At 41.8% G+C, this 22,336-nt stretch overlaps 1 protein-coding gene across 12 annotated transcripts in view, besides 1 other annotated feature; it reads right to left on the reverse strand.

The window, feature by feature from the left end:
• The window catches only part of SMG1 (SMG1 nonsense mediated mRNA decay associated PI3K related kinase), a 121,549-nt gene that overhangs the window by 92,114 nt on the left and 7,099 nt on the right, over positions 1 to 22,336 (reverse strand). For 4 of the 12 annotated variants that reach the window (XM_005255183.5, XM_047433794.1, XM_017023066.3 and 1 more), the window contains exon 2: positions 3,014 to 3,071. The exons of 6 other annotated variants lie outside the window; for them this stretch is intronic. In XM_005255183.5, coding sequence (XP_005255240.1) covers positions 3,014 to 3,027 — 14 coding nt within the window. In that variant the 5' untranslated portion in view covers positions 3,028 to 3,071. Of the gene's footprint in view, positions 1 to 3,013; positions 3,072 to 14,389; positions 18,237 to 22,336 lie in introns of those variants that run through there. 2 more of the 12 variants (XM_024450199.2, XM_047433792.1) reach the window with 1 other exon arrangement.
• Positions 14,472 to 14,973: an enhancer, noted in NCBI's record as "H3K4me1 hESC enhancer chr16:18922767-18923268 (GRCh37/hg19 assembly coordinates)". NCBI's record gives its function as "activates a minimal SCP1, AML or CMV promoter by ChIP-STARR-seq in primed H9 embryonic stem cells {active_cell/tissue: H9 hESC(primed)}" and the evidence as "EXISTENCE:reporter gene assay evidence [ECO:0000049][PMID:30033119]".

Genomic DNA, 22,336 nt, shown 5'->3' on the forward strand with positions numbered 1-22,336 from the left:
TTTAAGATTAGAACTTTAAATAACATAAATAAATATTTCTTTATACAAGCCTCTCTTCTCCCAAATTTTACATTTAACCATTACTATTTAGTGTAATATGTACTATATATTATATGTAAGCACTCAGCTGTCTAATAAGAAGTCTTTCACTGGGAAGAGATTCTCAATGGATGAAATGCCAACTTTTCAGTCTCTTCTATTGTTCTAAAGACCCATTCAGAAATATGAACAACTACTGGGATTAGGGTGACTTTGCTGGTTTTACCATTGAAAGTCTCCTGTCCCAGGCAAAACAGAACAATTGGTTACTCTGGTCCAGTGTTCTCCTCACATGACTTGATAATAAGAATAATTCTTTCTAAATTCTCCCCCATGGAGAGGGTTAATCAGTCAAAAAATTTCAGCCTTTCCTGTCATAAAAATAAAAAACACTGGCAGCATGTCAGGGACGGGCAATGTCTTACCAAGTTATTTTCTAAGTACTGATTAGGTACTGTAGTATTGAAGACCCCATTGCAGATGCCTTAATTGTAAAGAGTAGCAATCAGAATTTTAAAAATTAAAAAAGAAGACATTTTAAGAAAATAAAAGGTATCAGAAATGCAATAAAGTGATATCAGAAAGTTGTAGTTCATAATCTATTTAAAATTCAGGTACTGTTTAGAATAATACCTGATGCTTATTAGTAAACAAGTAGGGTACAGCCAAGGGTAAAAGTGTGTCCTCATCTAAGTATCTGCTCTACGCTTCAACTACCTCATAAGTAAAACAGAGCTGAGTTACAAGACTTCTCATGAGTGTTACTCTTTCAGCCATCAATCATAAACTATCAAGAAAGAAGACAACAAAATAATCTATTATAGCATACGAAAAATCCAAGTAAGTTCTTCCCCTACTGATTTTCTCCTGAGAGGAACAACTTTGAGAAAAAAAAAAAAAAGAAAATCACTTCTATGATATTTACTAAAAATGCTTTCTCAACCTTTTAGAACCTGAATCTTTTAGAAAAGTTTAGGACACTGGCAAGGCCAGACACTAAGCTATTCCTCTATGCTTTGCCCCTCCCTCTATGGTGTAAAAGTGACAGCAGTGTTTGTATACTGTATATATTTCGTTTAGAGTTTATTAGTCTTTCCTTGCTTCCAAAAATACTAAACATAAAACTTAGCATGAGCTCAATCAGTTGGACACCTTGATCTGCACTTACTGCAATCACTGTTAATACAGAATGCAGACAACAGGTCCAATTAAACTTGGATATCTAACTGGTACAAGTCATTACTTATAAAGGATCTCAATCTGAAACTTCATGAAATTCAAAACCTAGCATACTAAAATGACTAAGGCTCCATAAGGAGTATCTTCTAATATTCAGAGTTCATTTATTCATAAAGCTAAGTACTTAGAACATAAGGGAAAATAAAATCTATGGAATTTCAAGAAAAATGTATGAGAATATTTTCTGAGTATACTAAGTCTATAAGCATTAAAATATTAACTCAATGGACCATAACTTTTTTAAACTAATGAAAAGACATTCCTTATGTACCTAAAAATAGCACATTTAACATGCATCTATATAAATCATAGCATACGATTACTTTCTGAAAGGAGATTGAAACATAAGAGAGCTTATAATCTTTTCTGACAGAGTTTGAACTTTATATGTATGCCACAGTAAGCTCTTATTAGATGAGCGAATAAAATAAGCACTTGACTAATTCGGAAACACAAAGATAAATGGAGTCTGCCAATATTTAAACATATCTTCACTTCCTGTTTTCATCATGTTTACTTATCTCCTATACTACCTTTACTATTAAGAGTTAAATATTTGTATCACTTTCTGGTGACACAGTAGTACCATAAGGCAGCAGAGAATACAAGTTAAAAAAAGATCTGGGCTCAAATCCCAGCTCCAGCACTGAAAAGTATGTGTGCCTTTGCACAAATTACTTGATCTCCAAGCCTTGGTTGTCTCTTGCATAAAATGAGGATGATACCTACCTAACATGCAAGGTTGTTGTGAGGCTTAAATAAGATAATGAATTATAAAGAAACGCTTAGTTTGCAGGGTATGTTAAAAGTTATTATGACCATAATACAAAATAAACTCAGTTTCCAGTCTAAAAGACAATGTACAAACAGTTCATGAGTATATGAATATAATCAAGACAAGTTTTTACAGTCAATATAGAGCAACTTAAATACTTCACTGAAGAAACCGGGTAATCTGTTGCTACCAACAATGTGTTTCCAACTACGAAGCATCTGATTTCAAACTAAACTGTAAAACCAGGAGCCGCTTCCCCGTTGGTTAGAAATAAGGTTTCTAAATCCCCTAAGTTATGAACACTGAGATTTTTTTCCCAAAAAAAATTTGTGTTTTCAGAAATATAACAAAAAAAAACTAACTGGAATAGAGCCACTGTCTCAGAAATACCTAAAAACTCCCTAGTTGCCAAATTATTTTAATACAAATTGATCAAAGCATCCCCAACCAGAACTCAGGTTGTAAGCATTCTGAACCTAAAAGCACAAAATGCTTTAGCATTTATATGAAATTTCTATTTTTATACAATCTTGACTACTTAGGTTTCAAAAAATGTCAATGTCAGGCTGTTAGCACCAACAAGATCATCCCAGTCCAATAAATAGAAAACTGTTAAAGAACGGAAATGAGCACTTAAAATGAGGCAATCAAAGCCACAAAATAGAAACTGCAGATTTGAACTCCAAGAAGCAGGCATGAATGTTAGGCTAGTTAGTTAGAAGAGCTGAAAGGGATATCATCTGCCAGAATTAGTGTCTCAATTTAGTGAAAAAAGAAAATCTATCTGTTAAGTCTAAGAATCCTAGCAATGATCCAAAAATACCTCTACAGCCCCTTTAATATTCTAAAAATATCATGGAGAGAAAAAAAAAGAAATGCATAAATTTCCCCACAACGATCAAACTGAAGTTAAAGCCTGATGTACATGCCACATGAGAGGTAAGTTTCTAAAGCTCATACCTCAAAAATCGCATACTGTATAATATGGAGCCTTTGTGATGTTTTGCATCAAGTCAATCTGTAAGACAGTAGTTACAATATTAGTGAAGACAGTGGGTTAAAACATTTGTTGTTCAAACATGGAGCAAATATCATTCATGAGTTAGGTGCCTTTAGTTGAACTATGGTCCCATTAGGGTTCATACATTAAAGCAAAAATTGAGGTGGAAAGCCACTCTGTGCCTTACAGGATAAAGAGGCTTAATGTGGCAACCAAAAAAATTTTAGTACATAAGAGAATTTAAATGTTAACTGTAACATACAAATCACATGCAAATATAGTTACCACTTATTTTAGCTACCTATTCTCAATATACAGAAAAATGCCACAAATCTAGGAGGCCATTCGTTTCAAATGACCAGAATCCTTAGACCTCACACCAACAATCCACCATGTGCTGGGGATGGTATCGCCTGACTAAATGTAGCCTTGCAGTCCATTCTTGTAAGTATTAGAGAGAAAAAGAGAGAGAGTGTCATCTCTGGAAAGTGTGAAGTCAGGGAATTCCCTACTAGGAAGTATTTCCATAAAGCACCCCAAAATGACTTGATGCAAACACCATACCTAGTGGTGTCACTGGAGTAAGCATCATATTACTTCAAATTGCTTTTACCTAGGTTTATTAAGGGATTTTGCTCTCATGGTGAGATCTAATTTATAATGGATATAAACCAGGAAATGAGATTTGCACTAAAGCCAATGAAGTAGGAATGTACTTATTCTCTAAAGTAGCAAAGATAGTCTCACTGTCACAGAGCAGTTATAGGATATGTTGCTTTCCATACTAATGGTTAATACCACTTGAAAATGATTTACCCTTCAAAAATAAATTCAAGGTTTTCCCCTGTAATGCCTCTTACCTGGATTCAAACATGCTTTAATGAGGAATAAGAGAAAGGGTGAAACTATGAATAACCCTGGGCCTTGTATCATTACATTAAAAACACTGCTCTAAATATGAGTCTATGGCTAAAATATTAATTTGAGAGGCTCAGGGAATTTATTATACAAATCTCTTCTTGCAGAGAACTTTAAGTTCAAATTTAATAGAACCATTCCATGTCAAAATTATAAATGAGTATGCATCAGTTTTGCAATACTGAAATATTAAATTAATATAATTTATCGGTAAAACTAGTTTAACTACCTCAGTATTAAGTGTCTATAATAACCAAATCTTAATTATCCATTTATGGGTGATTTGTTTCCTTTTTTGAGACAGGGTCTCACTCTGTCACCCAGGCTGGAGTGCACTGGCATGACCATAGCTCACTGCAGCCTCGACCTCATGGGTTCAGCCTCTCAAACAGCTGGGACCACAGGTGCATGCCACCCCATTTAGCTAATTTTTTATTTTTATGTTTTTTGTAGAGACAGGTGTCTGATTATGTTGCTCAGGCTGCTCTCAATTTCCTGGACTCAAGCAATCCTCCCACCTCAGCCTCCCAAAATGCTAGGATTAGAAGCATGAGTGACCACATCTGGACTGTCACCAATTTTTAACTGTCTGTCAACTAAACAGCCAATATAGACTGATAAGATATACTTAACTATTGTAAAATTGTAAAGAATTGTATCTTCACCAAGGAGAGGTCTGGCTTTTACCTGTGAATTCTGGAAGGTAATCTCTAAACTCTTGAAATGTCATACCTAATAAGAGGGTCCTGGCCAGAAGCAGTGGCTCACACCTGTAATCCCAGCACTTTGGGAGGCCAAGGCAGGTGGATCGCTTGAGGTCAGGATTTTGAGACCAGCCTGGCCAGCATGGTGAAACCTGTCTCTACTAAAAATACAAAAATTAGCCAGGCATGGTGACGGGCACCTGTAATAATCCCAGCTACTCAGGAGGCTGAGGTTTCAGTGAGCTGAGATCATGCCACTGCACTCCAGCCTGGGCAACAGAGCAAGACTATCTCCAAAAAAAAAAAGGGGGGGGTGGCGGTGGGGGGAAGGTGTCCTTGTTCATCTGGGGGTTTTAGGCCACAGCAGAGTCTAATAATGTGACTTATGGTGGGGGCTTTGAGTCACATGGATCAGCTTGACCTCCAGTGGGGCTGGAGACTAAGGTTAGCCACATGGGCATGCAACCATGGAACCCCAGTAAAAACTTTGGACATAAAAAACAGAGTGAGCTTCCCTGGTAGGCAATAATTCATGAGTATTGTCGCACACCAGTGCCACCAGGAAGGTATCATTTTTCACAACTCTACAGGGACAGGACAATTTGAAACTCCAACATTTGGAACTTCCCCGAACTCTGCCCTATGCACCTCTACCCTTGGCTCATTCTAATCTGAATCCCTAAACTGCAATAAACTCTAACCATGGGTATGAGAGCTTTCAATGAGTTCTAGTGAGTCCTCCTGGCAAATCATCCAACCTAAGAGTCGTCTTGGCCAGGCACAGTGGCTCAAGCCTGTAACCCCAGCACTTTGGGAGGCCCAGGCAGGCAGATCACTTGAGCTCAGGAGTTTGAGACCAGCCTGGCAATATGGTGAAACTGTCTCTAAAAAATATAGAAAAACTAGCCAGGCGAGGTGGTATGCGCCCATAGATCCAGCAACTCAGGTGGCTGACGTAGGAGGACTGCCTGAACCTGGGAGGGAGGAGGTCAGGGCACAGTGAGCTGTGATCATGCCACTGCACTCTCGCCTGGGTGACAGAGAGAGGCCCTGTCTCAAAAAAAAAAAAAAGAGTGGTCTTGGGAACCCCCAAACTTGCAACTAGTATTAGATGCAAGGGTCATCTTATGGACTGGACTCCCTCTTACTCTGCACTCATATTTAAAACCATTAAATATACTGTAGCTCAAAAAAAGTTGTTTGTTTGTTTTGAAACAGGGTCTCACCCTGTCGCCCAGGCTAGAGTGCAGTGGCGCAATCCGAGCTCAAGCAAACCTCCCACATCAGCCTCCCAAGTAGCTGAGACCACAGGCTTACTCCACCACGCCCAGCAACTTTTGTATTTTTTTTGTCCCATTCCCTACAACATTCCCAAAATGTTACCCAAGCTGGTCTCGCACTCCTGGGCTCAAGTGATCCACTCACCTCAGCCTCCGAAAGGGTTGGGATTACAGGCATAAGCCACTGCACCCGGCCATAAATTTTGTTTTTTAGTAACATTTCTAGCAAACATGATAAAGATTTGACTTCAGTGTTGCTTATTTTCCTTCCAAGGAACCTCTAATATTCTCTATTTTCAGACCTCCAATCAAATTAGCCAGAAGGAGCAAACGAAGCCAGTAACTCCAGGAGGGCAGTAGATCTGATTTTAACCTTTGTTTTACATGCATAATTGTCTTCAGAGAAAAGCTGAAGAAAGTACCCCCTCACATCCATGCCCCAGTGCTCCTTTTCTCTGACTTCAAGTGGGCCTCTGAAGTTGCCCACATTTCCCTCACCGGGTTTCTTTCCTTTCCAAAACATCTGTAAAACTTTCTGCACCTTCTTCCTTCTCCCACCACTACCAGTGGATGACCTTATAGATTTCTGCTTCATGAGAAGTAGAAGCCATTTGACAACACCCTCAGCAAGAGCTAACATTTTAGCTCCTAACAAGAGCTAGTGGGCAACTGATCCAAGCAGTTTACATACGTTTATCATGTCATTTCATGTTCAACACAATCCTATTAGTTATAACTTGATGACTAAGGTTTCATAACTGGCCTAAGGTTGCACAGCTTGTAAAAGGCAGAGCCAGAACTCAGACCCAGTACTGTCTAATGTTTGAGCTCTTCAACACTCCATCACTGCCTGTCATCTTCCTTCTAATATATCCACAAATTCACCTGCATCTGCACATACAGCTTTTCTTCCCATCATCTTCGCATAATGGAACAAATAAACCTCCTATCCATAGAGATCATCTGGATCTGTCTATTCCCCCCATTTTCCAAGGTATGTCTTGTCTTTTTTTTTTTTTTTTTTTTTGAGATGTAGTCTCGCTCTGTCGCGCAGGCTGAAGTGCGGTGACGTGATCTCGACTCACTGCAAGCTCCGCCTCCCGGATTCACGCCATTCTCCTGCCTCAGCCTCCCGAGTAGCTGGAACTACAGGCGCCCAACACCACGCCCGGCTAATTTTTTATATTTTTAGTAGAGACGGGGTTTCACCATGTTAGCCAGGATGGTCTCGATCTCCTGATCTCGTGATCCACCCACCTTGGCCTCCCAAAGTGCTGGGATTACAGGCTTGAGCCACCGTGCCCGGCCTGTTTCTTTTGTACGTTGCAAAATCTCCCATTTTACTACTGCTTATCACATCATCAACATATGAGCACTCTCAAAAGTCTTACTTTAAAAAAAACAAAAAACAAAAAACAAAAAATGGCCGGGCACGGCGGCTCACGCCTGTAATCCCAGCACTTTGGGAAGCGAAGGCAGGCAGATCATAAGGTCAGGAGATTGAGACCACCCTGGCCAAAATGGTGAAACCCCGTCTCTACTAAAATAGAAAAAATAAAATTACCTGCGTGTGGTGGCACGCACCTGTAGTCCCAGCTACCTGGGAGGCTGAGGCAGGGGAATCGTTTGAACCCAGGAGGCAGAGCTTGCAGTAAGCCGAGATCATGCCACTACACTCCAGTCTGGTGACAGAGCAAGACTCTGTCTCAAAAAAAAATAAAATAAAGGCCGGGTGAAGTGGCTCACGCCTGTAATCCCAGCACTTTGGGAGGCCGAGGTGGGTGGATCATGACGTCAGGAGTTCAAGACCAGCCTCGCCAATGTAGTGAAACCCCGTCTCAACTAAAAATACAAATATCAGCCAGGCGTGGTGGTGGGTGCCTGCAATCCCAGCTACTCAGGAGGCTGGGGCAGGAGAATCGCTTGAATCCGGGAGGCGGAGGCTGCAGTGAGCCGAGATTGCACCACTGCATTCCAGCCTGGGCAACAGAGAGACTCCATCTCAAAAAACAATAATAATAATAAAATAAATCTAAAAATTAAGAAAATAAGGCCGGGCACGGTGGCTTACGCCTGTAATCCCAGCACTTTGGGAGGGTGAGGCAGGCAGATCATGAGTTCAGGAGTTTGAGACCAGCCTGGGCAACATAGTGAAACCCCGTCTCTACTAAAAATACAAAAAATTAGCCGGGTATGGTGGTGGGCGCCTGTAATCCCAGCTAGTTGGGAGGCTGAAGCAGGAGAACCACTTGAACCCCGGAGGTGGAGGTTGCAGTGAGCTGAGGTCGCGCCATTGCACTCCAGACCAGGCAACAGTGTGAGACTCTGACTCAAAACAAAAAACAAAAAACAAAAAAACCCTTTAACTGCCTTTCTCCCTCTATCAATCTAATAGCCTGGACTCTTCGCAGACAAACCTGTTGAAAAATTTATCTTCCTTGCCTTCACTTACTTTTTAACCCACTTTAATCTGGGTTCCACCTGCAACACACCACTGAAGCTATTCCTACCAAGGTAGGAACTGCCACTCAAGACCTTCTTGGCTCTAAAATCCCATGAGACTTTTTCAGTTCACATTACAATTTCTCAATACCATTCTAAAGTTTATGAGTTTTTTAGTTAACTTTAATTCCAGTGACTCTTTCTACTTTATCCCAATCCAAGTATTCTCCTCCTTCTTCATTTCATTTTTTTTTTTTTTTGAGACAGACTCTGACTTTGTTGCCCAGGCTGGAGTATAGTGGTGCAATACTGGCTCACTGCAACCTCCACCTCCAGGTTCAAGTGATTCTCCTGCCTCAGCCTCCCAAGTAGCTGAGATTACAGGCCCCTGCTACCACACCCGGCTAATTTTTGTATTTTTAGTAGAGACGGGGTTTCACCATGTTGGCCAGGCTGGTCTCGAACTCCTGACCTCAAGGGATCCAGCCGCCTCGGCCTCCCAAAGTGCTGGAATTACAGGCGTGAGGCAACATGCCCGGCCCCTTCCTCACTTCTTTAACCAGCTTAGATTTCATTGTGTATCATTTCAACAACACTCTTGCCTATACCCTTAACTCTTAAGGTTTTCATCACACCCATCTGGTAAAACCCCAGTCCTGGATAAACTCAATGATCCATCAACAAGCACCATACTCCCAGGTCCTCCAGTGTTTACTTCCCATTCTATACATGCACTATCCAGACATTCCCATTCTCTTCAAATTCCAAAATATCCTATCACCTCCCCTCCCCATACACACATTCTACTTCACCAACAAAAAAAAAGGTACCAGCTGCGCACGGTGGTTCACGCCTGTAATCCCTGCACTTTAGGAGGCCAAGGCGGTGGATCACTTGAGGTCAGGAGTTGGATACCAGCCTGGCCAAAATGGTGAAACCTCATCTCTACTAAAAATACAAAAATTAGCTGGGTGTGGTGGTGCGCACCTGTAATTCCAGCTACACGGGAGACTGACACAGGAGAATCGCTTGAACCCAGGAGGTGGAGGTTGCAGTGAGCCAAGACTGCACCACTGCAATCCAGAGCCTGGGCAATAATAAGAGCGAAACTCCGTCTCGGGGTGGGGTGGGGAAGATACCATAAAATACCTGCACCTGATTCTAGACCTTACTTAGGATTCCATCTACTTCCACCTTACTGTAACTTTTCAAATACTTTCCCACTGAACTAAATCCCCCCCATAAACATGCAACACTTTCAATGTATCCCATTTAAAAATACAAAAACATATAAAAAGGAAAAACTCCATCAATCCCACATGTCCCTCCATCAAACAATCTGCCTTTACTTGCTGCAGCCAAACTAAAGTTGTCTAGACTCCTCTCTCCCATTTCTTCACTTCTTCTAGCTCCTTAACACACACTGGTCCAATTTCTGCCCCATCACTCTTGGCAAAATCCATTATGACCTCCAGGCTGCTAAATCCAAGATACAGTTCAGGCCTCAATCTGCTCATCCTTTCAGCAGCTTTCACAGGGCTGCTGAGTAGGGTTGAGCAGTTTTGCCCTGCACACAGGTGCCCTGCTGAGGAATGAGGTCGGCTGAGTGAAACTCCTTTTTTAAAAATTCTTGGCTGGCATAGTGGCTCACGCCTGTAATCCCAGCACTTTGGGAGGCTGAGGCGGATGGATCACTTGAGGTCAGGAGTTCAAGATCCGCCTGGCCAATATGACGAAACCCCGTCTATGAAAAATACAAAAATTAGCTGGGTGTGGTGGCAGGCGCCTGTAATCCCAGCTACTCAGGAGGCTGAGGCAGGAGAATCACTTGAACCCAGGAGGCGGAGGTTGCAGTGAGCCGAGACTGCGCCAATGCACTCCAGCCTGGGCAACGAGAGAAACTCCATCTCAAAAAAAAAAAAATCGTTTATGCCAACTAATTGTACACCTAAATGCACCAAGTTCATGACTTTCTCCTTGCATTTATTTATTTATTTATTTTTTAATTAGGTCTCACTCTATGTTGCCCACATTGTAGTGCAGTGTGTTATTACAGCTCACTGCAGCCTTGAACTCCTGGGCTCAAGAGATCCTCTGGTTTTAGCCTCCCCAGTAGCTAGAACTACAGGTATGGAGTGGCTCTCTGCCTTTATTTCTAACCCAAGCTAGCTTACAACCTTAAAAAGTGACCCTGCTTCGCTGGGCACAGTGGCTCTCGCCTATAATCCCAGCACTTTGGGAGGCCGAGGCGGGCGGATCATGAGGTCAGGAGTTCGAGACCAGCCTGACCAACATGGTGAAACCCTGTCTCTACCAAAAATACACAAAAACTTAGCCAGGCCTGGTGGTGCAGCGCCTGTAGTCCCAGCTACTCAGGGGGCTGAGGCAGGAGAATCATTTGAACCCGGGAGGCAGAGGTTGTAGTGAGCCAAGATCACGCCACTGCATTCCCACCTAGGCGACAGAACGAGACTCAAAAAAAAAAAAAAAAAAAAAAAAGAGACCCTACTTCAGCTCTCAATTGCATCACTTATCTTCCCCTTTTGTCAGTAAGTCCTGGAAGTACCCTAGAAACATATCATTTGGCCTGGGAAATTGCCAAGATTGAAAGGAAATATCTTACTCTATGACCTCTTTAATAGATGAAGGACAAAAAAGGCTGAAAATGTACAAAGATATGCATCCCTCCCCGACCAGTTAAATGCCAAACATAGGCCAGGCGCAGTTGATCACTCCTGTAATCCCAGCTGTTTGGGAGCCTGAGGCAGGCAGATTACCTGAGTTCAGGAGTTCAAGATCAGCCTGGCCAACATGGTGAAACCCAGTCTCTACTAAAAATACAAAAAAATTAGGCAGGCGTGGTGGTGCACATCTGTAATCCCAGCTACTCGGGAGGCTGAGGCAGGAGAATCGCTTACCCAGAGGCGGAGGTTGCAGTGAGCCGAGAGCTCACCACTACACTCCAGCCTGGAGAACAGAGTGAGACTCAGTCTCCAAAAAAAAAAAAAAGGCCAAACATAGCCCATTCCAACGAAGATTAAGAATCACTAAGAGTTACATTGCACCACTGCACTCCAGCCTAGGTAACAGAGCGAGACTCCGTCTCAAAAAAAAAAAAAAAAAAAAAAAGTTACACACTGCAGAAATCTAAAGAATCTCAAAAATAGACAGGGACTTTATAATCAAGGTAAAGGTGAAGTGATGTTTACCAATATAAGAAATGAATGGGCCAGGTGTGGTGGCTCACGCCTGTAATCCCAGCACTTTGGGAGGCCAAGGCGGGAGGATCTCAAGGTCAGGAGATCAAGACCATCCTGGCTAACACAGTGAAACCCCGTCTCTACTAGAACTACAAAAAAATTAGCCAGGCGTGGTGGCAGGCGCCTGAAGTCCCAGCTACTCGGGAGGCTGAGGTAGGAGAATGGCGTGAGCGCGGGAGGTGGAGCATGCAGTAAGCTGAGATCACGCCGCTGCACTCCAACCTGGGTGACACAGCGAGACTCCGCCTCAAAAAAAAAAAAAAGAAATGTATGCAACCATTTTTTTCAACTCCTGAAAATAGATAATAACTGTAGTTATTCTGATAAAGTTCCTTTAGCCAACAGGTTGAAGCACATTCCCAGGGAATGACATGTTTATAAGATTTTCTAACAATTACATATGTTAAATCTTCTCTTTAAAAATAATCCTGGCCAGGCACGGTGGCTCACACCTGTAATCCCAGCACTTTAGGAGGCCGAGGCAGGTGGATCACTTGACATCAAGAGTTCAAGACCAGCCTGGCCAACATGGAGAAATCCTGTCTCCACTAAAAATACAAAATTAGCCAGGTGTGGTGGTGCATGCCTGTAATCCCAGCTACTCGGGAGGCTGAGGCAGGAGAATCACTTGAACCCGGGAGGCAGAGGCTGTGGTGAGCTGAGACGGCGTCATTGCACTCCAGCCTGTGCAACAAGAGCGAAACTCCATCTCAAAAAAAGGAAAAAATAAAATAAAATAAATAAAAATAAAAATAATCCTAGGCCAAGCCAGCTGCAGTAGCTCACACCTGTAATCCCAGCTACTCAGGAGGCTGAAACAGGAGGATCACTCGAGCCCAGGAGTTTGAGACCAGCCTGGGCAACACAGTGAGACTGTGTCTCTAAAGAAAAAAATCATCATCATCATCCTAGGCCAGTCCACACAACACAGCAAGACCTCCAACTCTAAAAGAAAATGAAATAAAAAATTTTAAACGTCAATTTAATTAGAGGTCTCAAGTAATTCCAGAAGATATGGTCTCACAAATCAAATACTGAAAAAGGAAGATGCCTTTCAAGATAATCACACTATTAACTGTAGGAAAATGTATTAAATGAAGACAGCTTTTGCTAGCTGCTGAAACATACTAGTAAGAACAGGAAACGATGCTCCCACCATGCTCAGCAGTAGCCAGAAATTTACTGAGGTCTTTGTATTTAGCCTTAAGTATAAGACACCTAGGAAACTTCAAAATCATCACTTAAGCCACTTTAAACCCACAGTCTACACAAACCCTATCTTTTTCTTTTGTTACATTTTATACTAAACACACTTTAATCAGATTGACATAAGTGATTTAAAAGAAGTAACTTTTATAATTCCCTTTTACAAGAAAAAAAAAACAATGTTTCTAGATATTAAGTTCCTTAAGAGACAGCAATCATTTATTATAGATTTACAGTACTACAATTTCAAATAGTACCAGAATCTTTTTTTTTTTTCTTTGAGACAGTGGCACAATCACAGCTCACAGTAGCCTCGACCTCCTGGGCTAAGGCAATCCTCCCACCTCAGCCTCCCAAGTAGGTGGGACTAGAAACTCACGCCACCATGCCCAGCTATTTTTTTTTTTTTTTTGAGACAGAGTCTTGCTCTGTTGCCCAGGCTGGAGTGCAGTGGTGTGATCTTGGCTCACTGCAACCTCTGCCTCCTGGGTTCAAGCAATTCTCCTGCCTCAGCCTCCCAAATAGCTGGGATTACAGGCATGCACCACCATGCCCAGCTAATTTTTGTATTTTTAGTAGAGACGGAGTTTCACCAGGTTGGTCAGGCTGCTCTCGAATTTCTGATCTCGGTGATCTGACAGCCTCGGACTCCCAAAGTGCTGGGATTACAGGTGTAAGCCACCATGCCCAGCCAATTTTTTTATTTTTTGTAGAAACGAGGTCTCACTATGTTACCCAGGCTGGTCTCCAACTCCTGGGCTCAAGTGATCCACCCACCTCCCTGCCTTGGTCTCCCAAAGCACCACCATGCCCGGCCCAAAATCTTGTAATTGCTTAATACTGTATATACATTCTTATAATGATATGATATTTCCCATCTTTGCTTAGAAGATGCGTGTGGTTCTTCTCCACCCCCTCAAGTACTTAAAACTATCACATTGGCAGAATACAACCTTTCAATGTTTCTGGCATCCTCCCTCCTCCCATTAAAAAATAAAATTAAAATAAAAATATGTATATACACAGCCATACACACTACACCAGAGGGAAAAAAGCAATTCATCGTTCAACTGGTGTTCTTATAAGAATCAGTTCTTAAATTCCAACTGTGTAGTAAAAGGTAAGCAAGCTATAAGCTACCTTTTAACCTACCCTTTCTCTATATACATTCCATTTACATTGTACTTGCCCTCCAATCTATGCAAATAGTCACAAAGATTAGATTATGTTTGCTGGCTTATCATTTCAACTAGTAACAAATTCTTAAGGTGTGAATACAAGATATGGAGAAAAAATGATGATGCAGAGCTATGCTGAAATTTCTTATTGTTCAACTTGAAATAGGTTTACAGCCTAATGGGAGTACACTAGAAAATGTAGAAGGAGGGCAGGCATGGTGGCTCACACCTGTAATCCCAGCACCTTGGGAGACAGAGGTGAATGGATCACAAGGTCAGGAGTTCAAGACCAGCCTGGCCAACAAGGTGAAACCCTGTCTCTACTAAAAATACAAAAAAAAAAATTACCTGGGTGTGGTGGCACATGCCTGTAATCCTATCTACTCAGGAGGCTGAGGCAGGATAATCGCTTGAACCCGGGTGGCGGAGGTTGCAGTGAGCTGAGATCGCACCATTGCACTCCAGCCTGGGGGACAGAGCGAGACTCGTCTCAAAAAAAAAGAAAATGTAGAAAGAGAGCCACTCCACTGCGGAGCAATTAATTCTATCTCCACTAATATTTTTCTAAATATTCACTGAAACAGTTTTAAAAATAATTTCCTGAACTTTAACCCTCCCAACGTCTTCAAAAGGCAAAAATTACCCCCTCAGAGGGACACAGCTGGTAGTGCCAATACAAAAGATCTTTGTCTTCCCATTCTTAGTCCACAGCTTTTTTCATGACACCAGCCTCTCCCTAAGATAAATATCTGTGAAGGATTAACTTTTTAAAATACACACATTCTAGCTAGGCACGGGGGCTCACTTCTGTAATCCCAGAACTTTGGGAGGCTGAAGCGGATGTATCACCTGAGATCAGGAGTTTGAGACCAGCCTGGCCAACATGGTGAAACCCGTCTCTACTAAAAATACAAAAATTAGCCAGGCGTGGTGGCATGCACCTGTAATCCCAGCTACATGGGAGGCTGAGGCAGGAGAATCGCTTGAACCCGGGAGGTGGAGATTGCAGTGAGCCAAGATGGTGCCAACTGCACTCCAGCCTGGGCAACAGAGCAAGATGCCATCTCAAAAAAAAAAAAAAAAAACCATTCTTAAAAATAAAGACACTTAGAGAGGAATCTAAAACACACTGGTTCTATTTTTAACTTCACCAATGCTAAAACAGCGGGTGGATTTTTTTTTTTTTTGAAAAAGAAAAGGGAACAAATTTCACATAGGAGAATAGTTTTTGAAATCTTTGCACAACAGGGTGGCTATAGTAAATAATGATGTATTTATTTGCAAAGAGAAGACAGAGATAACAATAGCAATAATAATAATGTATTTCAAACAATTAAGAGTAAATTTCAAATGCCTCACCACAAAATATAAGTAAGCAAAGTAAGGTGATAGTATGTTAATTAGCATGATTTAATCATACTACATTACACACATATATATAAACATTACGTTGTACCCTATGTGTACAATTATGATTTTTGAATTAATATTAGAGTGGGGAGAACAATAATGATTAATTTTTACTTCTTCAGTAAGATTACAATGAAAATGTAGAGAGCACTACCATCATAGTAACTACACGATAGGCCACTTTAAATAAAAGGTATCTTTTACAAAATTTTTAGTCAATAAATTGATTACCACATACTTACGACCTATTTGCTATTAAGTGTAAGTTAATTTATAATTTTAGTATTCTCAAAAAAGGAACATATTAAAATCCTATCAATATTTCAAATAATGACAGAATTAATCATTTTTAATAGAATCCTTACTCAGGTCCTTCAAAAACAATATAAACTACGACTTCAGGTTGATTCCTTTAAATCTGACTAATGAATAAATGTTAAATCTCAAATTTCATAGTCCCAGTGCTGGAAAACCTATATTTTTATTTTTCTTCACGTTTATACAACGTTCGGACAGGCAAGAAATGTAATCAACCTTTTTAGGAAAGAATCCCAGGATTTGTTTTCTTTTCAATTAAATATATATGAATTCTGGGTGATATTGGTGATCATCTCTGGATCTTTTTACTCATCTAATGAGAAAAGGGTCTCATTATACAAAGAGGATAGTCAAAAAGCCTAATGATTTCCTCACATAAGTAGGTTTTTCTGTCTGGCAAATCTGAAGAAGTCAACGTAGAATCTGTCATTAATGCATTGAATCTGAACTTCCACTATTAAAATCAAATTAGGGCCTGGAAATTAAGTGTTAACACTTCAGACAAGAAATTCCAGGGTTTGTATCATCAGGAATATAAACCAGGGACACCCTCAAGAGGCTGAAGAGCAAGAGTCATGCACTGCTTCAGAGAATTAAATACTCCAAGATGAAAGTTAAAATTTCAAACACACGTATCACACATATACATCTTTTAACATCAGGTTGAAATGCTAAAGGGAACAGAGTAAAGGTACGTTTTTAATTAATAAATTTAAATGAGAGAAAACTTTAAATTCAAAGAGCTTCAGTAAAAAAAAAAAGAAAATGTTAGCAATGTTATCAAATGTGGACGAAAAGCTAATATATGTCACTATGTAATCCAAGACATATTCATTAGTGGAGCCTTTTTTCTAGGCTATTAATATATTAGATGCCATCCAAAAACAAATATCTAGTAAATATTAAGTTTAACAACTTCTTAAAAACCTGTAGGTTCCCAAAGACATATACATGTATGTGCAGTGAGGCCACTGCTAAGCCTCTAATAATATTCTTGTAGACTACTAAAGTTCTCTATGATGATAAAAAGGGTAATAAAAAAAAAATCTAGTGTCTCCCCTTAATAAACAAAGAATGAGCATAACTTAGGAAGTTCGGTAACAAAAACAATCTATAATTCTGGTACCAGAAATCCCTCTGAGGCTGGGCGAGGTGGTTTACGCCTGTAATCCCAGCACTTCGGGAAGCCAAGGCAGGGGGCATCACCTGAGGTCGGGAGATGAAGAACATCCTGGCTAACACAGTGAAACCCTGTCTCTACTAAAAATACAAAAAATTAGCCAGGCGAGTGGCACATGTCTGTAATCCCAGCTACTCAGGAGGCCGAGGCAGGAGAATCACTTGAACCCAGGAGGTAGAGGTTGCGTGAGCCTAGATCGTGCCCTTGCACTCCAGCCTGGGCAACAAGAGCAAAACTCCATCTCAAAAAAAAAAAAGCAACAAGTCCCTCTGAAAAAAGTTTTAAATAATAAACAAAAAAAGTCTATAATAGGTTTTTAAATAACCATAAAGTCCTACACATATTATATGAAAACCAACATAATAATAACATGAATATGAATATCAACAGGATATCCAATTCCTTTTTTGAAAAGGTCCGAAAATTAATATGAAAGAAGTAATTCAGTATGTTTAGAAATCTGTTGATTCTAGGCCAGGTGTGGTGGCTCACGCCTGTAATCCCAGGACTTTGGGATTTACAAAATGGGATTTCCTCCTCACCTAAGGTCAGGAGTTCAAGACCAGCCTGGCCAAGACGGTGAAACCCCATCTCTACTAAAAACTACAAAAATTAGCCAGGCGTGGTGGCAATCGCCTGTAATCCCAGCTACTCAGGAGGCTGAGGTAGGAGAATCACTTGAACCCAGGCGGCAGAGTTTGCAGTGAGCCAAGATCTCACCACTGCACTCCAGCCTGGATGACAAATAAAATAAAATAAAGAAATCTGTTGATTCTGGAATATTTGTGTTTCATTCCCCAATCAGCAGGCACGCAACTGACAAGAAGTGTGTTTCCCCAGGCATTCTAATGGGATGCCAGAAGGCTCAACCCAGTGCTTAAATTTTTAGTGATTACATTGCTTAAATAATGTAGACAGATACAATAGACCCAAGATAAGTCAATGTGTAAAAAGACTTTAAATATGTGCACAAGGTATTTTTCAAGATGGATAAAACATATGAATCTTAAATTACCATATTTTTTTTTTTTTTTTTCTGAGACGGAGTTTTTTTTCCTCTTGTTGCCCAGGCTGGAGTGCAATGGCATCATCTCCACTCACTGCAACGGCATCATCTCCACTCACTGCAACCTCCGCCTCCCAAGTTCAAGCAATTCTCCTGCCTCAGCCTCCTGAATAGCTGGGACTACAGGTGTGTGCCACCATGCCCAGCTAATTTTTGTATATTTTTTAGTCGAGATGGGGTTTCACCATGTTGGCCAGGATGGTCTTGATCCCTTGACCTCATGATCCGCCCACCTCGGCCTCCCAAATTGCTGAGATTACAGGTGTGAGCCACTGCACGTGGCCAAATTACCGTATTCTTTCTTCTGTAAAAAGATCTGGCCACTCCAGTCCATTACAATACTGTCCTTTTGAGCCTGCTCAGTTTGTTTAAGCCCTGCCTCAGGCTAACAGGGCTGCCATAAGAGGAACGCTTTCCCCAAAAACACATCCTACAAGAACAGTGTTGTAATCTCTGGAGTTAACACTAACTATAAAAACACAAACTTGCAGGATCTCATTTTCATGTATTTACTTGAGGAAGACACAAATATAGAGTGGATGCTATTTATTGATGCACTTAGTAGGAAAGAAGGGGATAGCAAAAGTAACAATTTTACCAGATCCATGCACATATGCAGGTTGTATTTTACTGGAGATGGCACACATAAAAATTCCAGATAGTGGTAAGGATATGAAAAAAACGTGGCAGGAATGGGTGTCATAGTGAAAAAGTCACTGCATATCTGTACCTTGACTGAGGTCATGGTTACACAGGTGTATAGATTTGTCAAAATTTACTGAATTTAAGACCTATACAGGCCAGGCGTGGTGGCTCACGCCTGTAATCCCAGCACTTTGGGAGGCCGAGGCAGGTGGATCACCTGAGGTCAGGAGTTCAAGACCAGCCTGGCCAACATGGTGAAACCCCATCTCTACTAAAAGTACAAAAACCAGCCAGGCGTGGTGGCAGGCATCTGTAATCCCAGCTACTCAGGTGGCTGAGGCAGAAGAATCACTTGAACCCGGGAGGCAGAGGTTGCAGTGAGCCGTGATCACACCATTGCACTCCAGCCTGGGGGATAAGAGCGACACTTCGTCTCAAAAAAAAAAAAAAAAAAAACCAGAAAAAAAAAAAAAACCACCACCACTTATACATACATAAATTTTATCTCAAAGAAGCACCACAATAGAATTCAAAAGAGAATTCAATCTAAAAAGGAAAAGTACACTTGATTAATACAAGATGGAAAAGAATAACATTATAGGCCAGGCACGGTGGCTCACGCCTGTAATCCCAGCACTTTGGGAGGCCAAGGTGGGCGGATCACGAGGTCAGGAGATCGAGACCATCCTGGCTAACATAGTGAAACCCCGTCTCTACCAAAAATACAAAAAATTAGCTGGGCGAGGTGGCGGGCGCCTGTAGTCCCAGCTACTCGGGAGGCTGAGGCAGGAGAATGGCGTGAACCCCGGGGGGTGGAGCCTGCAGTGAGCCGAGATCCTGCCACTGCACTCCAGCGTGGGCGACGGTGAGACTCCATCTCAAAAAAAAAAAAAAAAAAAAAAAGAATAACGTTATAAAACCAAGTATCTCTGCATGAGCAAACTCCACAAGAATTTAGTAAGTTATACTCTACATTAAAAAACACACACAAAAAAAAACACAGAATAAGGGAGCATTTCCCATACATATGAAACCACAAATTTCTGTACTCTTTACTGTTAGGCCTCTATACAAGGGGAAGTATGTTTCATTTTATAGTTCCAAAAATAAAATGGGCTCTGAAAAACTTCAAGATAGTCAAAGACAGGTAACCAAAATAATGACAACATGAAAAGATAACAAACAGCTCCTCTGAATCATCAAGGGTGGTCCAATGAAAGGAGCCTCAGGGATTTGTTTTAGGCGATTAGGATAAGGAACAAGAGTCAGGTAACAAAGGCAGAAAATCCTAAAGAATTGTAACAATTCAATGTTCCCAAAAGACACCATGGACCACACTCCATTTTATATGACACTTATATGACATTCCATACATGTGTCTAACATGAAGATTGAGCAGATAAAAAGTATCACTTTAGTAATCATCCTCAATCAACACCAGATAACAAATGAGGGGCTTTTGCTTATGGAAATTCTCACATATTGAGCTGAACACTTTTACCTTAATTAATTAATTTATTTATTTATTTATTTTTTGAGACAGAGTTTCGCTCCTGTTGCCCAGGCTGGAGTACAATGGCCCGATCTCGGCTCACCACAACCTCCATCTCCCAGGTTCAAGTGATTCTCCTGCCTCAGCCTCCCAAGTAGCTGGGATTACAGGCATATGCCACCATGCCCGGCTAATTATTGTATTTTTAGTAGACATGGGGTTTCTCCATGCTGGTCAGGCTGGTCTCTCCCGACCTCAGATGATCCACCCACCTTGCCCTCCCAAAGTGCTGGGATTACAGGTATGAGCCACCATACATACACAGCCTTATCTTAAATTGTTAAATATAAACATAATACTCAGGTCCTTAGCAGCCCCTTCTCTATATTGTTCCAATTAACTGCCTCCCACTGCGATTTCTCTTGCACATGCATGCACGCACTCTAACACACACACTCCATTTTTTTTTCAGATGGAGTCTTGCTCTTGTTGCCCAAGCTGGAGTGCAACGGCGCAATTTCAGTTCACCACAACCTTGGCCTCCTAGGTTCCAGCAATTCTCCTGCCTCAGCCTCCCGAGTAGCTGGGAATACAGGCATGCACCACCACACTCGACTAATTTTGTATTTTTAGTAGAGACGGGGTTTCTCCATGTTGGTCAGGCTAGTCTCGAACTCCCCACCTCAGGAGATCCACCCACTTCAGCCTCCCAAACTGCTGGGATTACAGGCATGAGCCACCACGCCCAGCCCACACACTTTTTCAAGAAGCAACTAGATTTAATCTTCCTAAATTGTGCCACTCTCCCGCAGCTAATATGATTCCCTAAAGTCACTCCAAATACACTTGAACTGGGCCAGGGTGGTGGCTCACGCCTGTAATCCCAGCACTTTGGGAGGCTGGGATGGGTGGATCACCTGAGGTCATGAGTTCAAGACAAGCCTGACCAACATGGTGAAACCCCGTCTCTAGTAAATACAAAAGATTAGCCGGGTGTGGTGGTGCGTGCCTGTAATCCCTAGAGCTACTTGGGAGGCTGAGGAAGGAGAACTGCTTGAACCCGGGAGGCGGAGGTTGCAGTGAGCCAAAATGGCACCATTGTGCTCCAGCCTGGGCAACAAGAGCAAAAACTCCGTCTCCAAAAACAAACAAACAAACAAACAAAGAAAAAAACACTTGAACTATGATTCAAGGCCTACAATAGGGTTCCCAACCCAGTGCTTCAGCTTCACCTCTTATTTGTATTACTCCTCAGAAGTACCCAATTTCTCTACACACTGACAATTTGCACCTGGTCTTATCCTAATTTTCTTCTATTTTGGGGGGGATTCTCCCCCAAATTCACAGTGAAAATTGTACAGACCAATTCCATCACCCTACCGCTCCATACTTAACTGTATAGCTTTCCCTCCTCTGACCCTCCAGGTTTTTGTTTTTGTTTTTGAGACAGTCTCACTCTGTCACCCAGACTGGAGTGCAATGGCATGATCTTGGCTCACTGCAACCTTCACCTCCTGGGTTCAAGCGATTCTCCTGCCTCAGCCTCCCAAGTAGCTGGGATTACAGGCACCCACCACTGCATCCAGCTAATTTTTGTATTTTTAGTAGAGACGGGGTTTCACCATGTTGGCCTGTAACCCCAGCACTTTGGGAGGTCAAGGCGGGCAGATCACCTGAGGTCAGGAGTTCAAGACCAGCCTGGCCAACCTGGCGAAACCCTGTCAATCATGCCACTGCACTCCAGCCTAAGTGACAGAGCAAGACTGTCTCAAAAAAAAAGAAAGGAAGGAAGGTATACTGAGAATTGTATCACAAAATCCACATGCTCTCCCCTTTACAAAGCCCTTTACTTTTCTCCCATAATAACTTATAGCCTCCTTGAAGACAGTGGTTTTACAAGTCATAAAAATCCTGGCCGTGGCCCAGTGCAGTAGCTTATGCCTGTAATCCCAGCACTTTGGGAGGCCAAGACAGGCATATCACTTGAGGTCAGAAGTTCGAGACCAGCCTGGTCGACATGGTGAAACCCCATCTCTACTAAAAATACAAAAATTAGCCAGGGGTAGTGGCACATGCCTGTAATCCCAGCTACTCGGGAGGCTGAGGTAGGAGAATCGCTTGAACCCAGGAGGCCGAGGTTGCAGTGAGCCAAGACTGCACCAGTGCATTTCAGCCTGGGCAACA

The sequence above is a fragment of the Homo sapiens genome, chromosome 16 (genome assembly GCF_000001405.40).
Source record: "Homo sapiens chromosome 16, GRCh38.p14 Primary Assembly".
Lineage (NCBI taxonomy): Eukaryota > Metazoa > Chordata > Mammalia > Primates > Hominidae > Homo > Homo sapiens.